This window comes from Homo sapiens, chromosome 1, assembly GCF_000001405.40.
Source record: "Homo sapiens chromosome 1, GRCh38.p14 Primary Assembly".
Classification (NCBI taxonomy): Eukaryota; Metazoa; Chordata; class Mammalia; order Primates; family Hominidae; genus Homo; species Homo sapiens.
The window spans coordinates 62,901,070-62,905,633 of NC_000001.11; the positions used below are offsets into that span (position 1 = coordinate 62,901,070).

The window sequence follows — 4,564 nt, forward strand, 5'->3', positions numbered from 1 at the left end:
GTCCTCTTTTTTTTTTTCCTTATGAGCCTGAAACTTTTACTTCACTGAAGAAATATATTGAGCATTTATTATGTATGGGCATGTGTCAGGCATGTATGGATAAGTGAACTGTTTTATTTACTATTTCTTAATTAAATAAAGCATAGAAAACTCACTAAAATCCCTAAAAATGTTTCATGCTCAATAAATATGAACTGTCCTTCCCTTATGTCTTCTGTATACAGGATTTGGCTAAACATGTTCGGGCTCTCAGCATTCTTTCACCCCTCCCTTCAGAGGAAACACGGAGATGCCCTGACTTGGAGTTGAGAGATCTGGTCTCTGGTCCTGATGCCATCACTAACAGGCAATGGAAGCTTCAGCAAGTCCCTCCACTGGTCTGTGCCTCCATTCCCCATCTGTAAAGAGGATCGCTGGTCCCTATCACCCCCCTGGGATGTAGTGAGGCTTGTCATGTGGCAAGGGAAAGCACCTGGGACAAAGCAAGGTCTTATGCCAATGCTTTCTGTAGCATCATCCTGGAGCCTCAAGTCTTGTTTGAAATTGAATAAAGGAGAAACATAGGGACGAGGAAAGTGATCACACCAAATATTATCTAAAAACATTTAAACATTACATTTTAAAGAATTGAAAATGTTAAGGGGGGAGGTGGGAGACAAGGATTTGGCCAAAGTCTGGATATATTGAGTCAAATAGGCCTGAGTTCTAACGTAGCTTCTGGAACTTACACATTCTTTGGAAAGTTACATAACCTGTTATAAACCTCCATTTCCTCATCTGTGCAATGGGGACACTCATAGCATCCCCCTCAGAGAGTTGCATGTTAGAATAAATAATGATGTAGAAAGCTTAGTACATTGACTGGAATATAATAATATTTCAACATATTTTAGCTACTATTATATTGCTTGGCAATGCTATTTGGATAACACACAGGAATATGTTTTATTTTTTATGGTTATAATAATTCTTCATATTTGTTAACGATTACCAAGTGCCATTACAGAGCTTCCCAGTGACTTGCACAGCCGGCATTTTGGAGAATCCTAGTAAATAATGTTGTTGGAATGACTTCTCATTTAAACCTCACAGAAACTTTGAGAGATGGATATAGATATCACTGGGAGGACACTGAGCCTTAGAGAAGCTAAGTGACTTGCCCAAGGTTACAAAGCTAAGAAGTGGCCATGCCCAGACCTGGACTTGAGTCCAGAGCTTCTGCCTTCAAATTCAATGAAATATTCATCTCATGATGATATGTGTACCACATCACAGTTCTTTCCAGTTAATGTATTATTTCAACAGTTTAATGTATTCTTGAATGCTTACTGTGTTAGAGGATGTAACACAAAATTCAAGGAAAAAGGAGGCACATGGTTAAAAATCAAAAACGAAAAATGTCTCAGAGCAACCCAAAGAATTAAAATTTGTAACCATTTCCTTTTTCTCACCCTAATTTTCTGGAAAGGACCATTCAAATTTGGTCTGAGCATTAAAAATAAGCAAAACCGAAACCAAAAAGGACGTCTAAGAGGTATGAGCGGAGATAGTAAATTGCCCTCATCATTTATGTGTGAATATTTTAATACACAGGCCTAGAAATAACAACAGAGTCGGCCTCTTAGGGTCTCCCTTCCCGCCCGTCCTTTCCTTTTTCTTTGTAACCATCTTCACACCAGGGCAAATATACACGTGAACGTAATGTGTAGAATTAGGGACAGACTGGTGTCTCCACTTTAATTTTCAAGGTGGTATTATTGCTGGCATTCAGAGAAGACCACCCTCCTATTCTGACATGGTGAGTAGACCCCATTACCTTAGGAGCTGCTCATTTATATTGGTCTATATGAGTCTCCGTCTGGCACCATTCCTGTCACCTAGATATACATATTTCTCCCACTGACTCCTGTGGAAATCATTCACTTCAAGGGTGCAAATAAAGACTGAGTGAGGAGACTGAAGCAAGCCAAGAGGTGTGGAAAATGCAGGCCTTGAATGAATTCATCTGGTTCCATCTTCATTTGCTTTCTCCCTTGGCTGTTTCTATACTATTCAAGTGAAGCTTATTATTATTATTATTCAAAAAATGCCAAAGAATAAATACACTGTCTCGAGCACAAGCATTATGGACAATTTTTGAAATGGTATTGCATCCATGATACTGTTGCTAAAACATTCTTTACTTTGCTCTTGCAAAAACGGTCTTAGGTCCTATATGAGGAAAAAGGCACTGGGGCAAGACATTGGTCCAACCCACTGGGCCAGAGAGACAAGAGGGGGCCAGTGAAGCCAGGGAGGCCTTTGGTTGAGGTGACGGAGAAATTGCCAAGTAGCCAGAATTGAAAGAAAAGTCTATCCATTGGTTCTTGTCGTCTGGTTTCAGACACTGGCTAGGAGGAATGATGGCTTCTCCTTTTGCACATTTCACTTGTCAACTTAACTTTTTTGGGCTTACTTCCTAGACATGGGTAATTTATAATTAATTCACCATGTAAAATTAATATGCGTTTCTGGTTTGGAATATTAAAACTAGGCCATGGATTCAATCTTTATTGCTTGGCTGCAGGAAAGAGAGCGTCTGTCTGTCTGTACGCGTTTAAACAAAAGGGCTCCCCAGCGTAATGTTTACTTCCATGGTCTCTGAGACCTCGGTGTGTGGCTGACTGAGGTGTGTGTGCACTGGCACGGAGCAGGGGTCACTCGCTGTCCATTTTAAGGGCTCATTTCTCAGCGGGCCCTAAATAATGGTAGATTGTGTTCGTATTGTCGTTTCTCCTGATGTATAGATGGACGCATACATATATATGTGTACATATATATATTTTTTACCAGCTGAGCATTTCTGGAGCCTTGACCCTTTCATTTTAGCTTTACCTTTCTTTGTCCCCTGAATGACCGGCATAATTCATCTGATTATCTATTATCTTGTTATTGGACATAAATTTTACAAGCTGTTGAGAGTGCGGAAAATCAATACCTTTTAAATGCTGTTTATGTGTGATTAACGGTTAATATCCTCACAAATTATTTAATGTAATAAGGTCATTTATCTTTTGCATGGGCTTGGTATCCTGCAAAGAATAATAGAATAATAAATGAGGACACTGGTAAAGAGGATATTTCAGATGCTTTTCTGTGCCAGTTTTATTACCCATATCCTCTTTACAGCCACAAAGCTGCACTATGGTTATTTTATGCAAGTAATAAAATTAGCCTGAGATGGAATTAGCAGACTCGGGGCTCTTTATAGGTCAAGTCGGTGCTTTATGAGCCTGCGACTCCCTAGTGCTATCGTCATGAGGCTAGTTAGAGGGGTCTTTAAGCATGATTTAATATGTCCATGCTTCAGAAAATAGTTAAATAGCTAATTAAATGGAGGAGTTAATTTACATATTAATTGACCTTCCAGTAATATTTATATTGATACCTACATGAGAAGCTCGTGTCTTCATTGCCTTTCATCATAGTTAGTCTGAGCAAATATGGTGGAACTTTTTTGTTTAAACTGAAGTTTCTCTTTATTGTCACAGGAGGGTTGTTGTATTCCCTGGAATAGTGGAGTACATCTGGCCTCGCATTTATGCATTTGCAGAAGCCTTTTGTTGTAGAATAATTAGGAAACACAGTCAAATATGCAAAGGGTGGTGTGAGTGTGTGTGGGGGGGTGTGAGTGTGTGTGTGTGTGTGTGTGTAAGGGGGGTGGTTACATTCTTGGATCTTTGCCTGAATAAAAGCTGGTGATAATTATGATAATCATGGTTCTTCAGTCTAGAAGTCCTTTGGGAGATAATATTGTGGCCATGTGTTGAAATTAGCATAACATTTTACCTGCAGTTATGAGGGAATATTATCAACTCAAAACCTTCAAGTAGTAAAAGAATGGCTTATGAAGGGAAAAAGCACCAGAGAGTTATGGGTTTAACAAATACAGTTGAAGCAAGCAGCTGTGTGCAGATCTTGCTTCCAGCCTCGCACAATGTATCATGAGAGAATACTGCCGTCTGCCCATTTACTTCTCTTCCTTTAATCAGAGAATCATCTTTAATAACTGAGGAGTGTTTTAATGTACTAAGCCTGCTGTTTTAGTGTGCGGCATCTCTATTTACAACAGGAAATGCTCCGGGAACACCTTCTCCTCGTGCTGCTGAGTTTAGCATTGTTGCACGGCCCAAATTTTCAGTGAGGCATGGGGTTTTGCCAGTGGATAAGCTTCTCAACTGATGGCGCTTCATTTTGGCCCTGGTATTTTATCATACGGTTCTGGGAGGCGGTGGGGTTACGGAATCAAGACAAGGGTGGAAGGCCAGGGAGAGATGGGCTATGCACAGACAATTACAGTGGGCTCAAAACCCCAGAACATTTACCTTTTCCAACTGAATGACTCTATAAAATGGACACCTGCCATGTTCCTAGCATGAATCACGGTACTAGAGGCACACACAAGTGGAGTGCAGTCACGCCTAGTTGCTCACTGATGTATCAAATACAATGTCTGCACAGGGTTCAGCGCCTGAGCCAAATGTTAAAGTTATTTGTTCTTGTCAATAAACTAAACTTTACAGTG

At 40.1% G+C, this 4,564-nt stretch overlaps 1 annotated feature.

Annotated features, from left to right (window-relative positions):
• Positions 2,609-4,154: an enhancer, noted in NCBI's record as "VISTA enhancer hs311". NCBI's record gives its function as "enhancer in: neural tube[5/5]" and the evidence as "EXISTENCE:transgenic organism evidence [ECO:0001131][PMID:17130149]".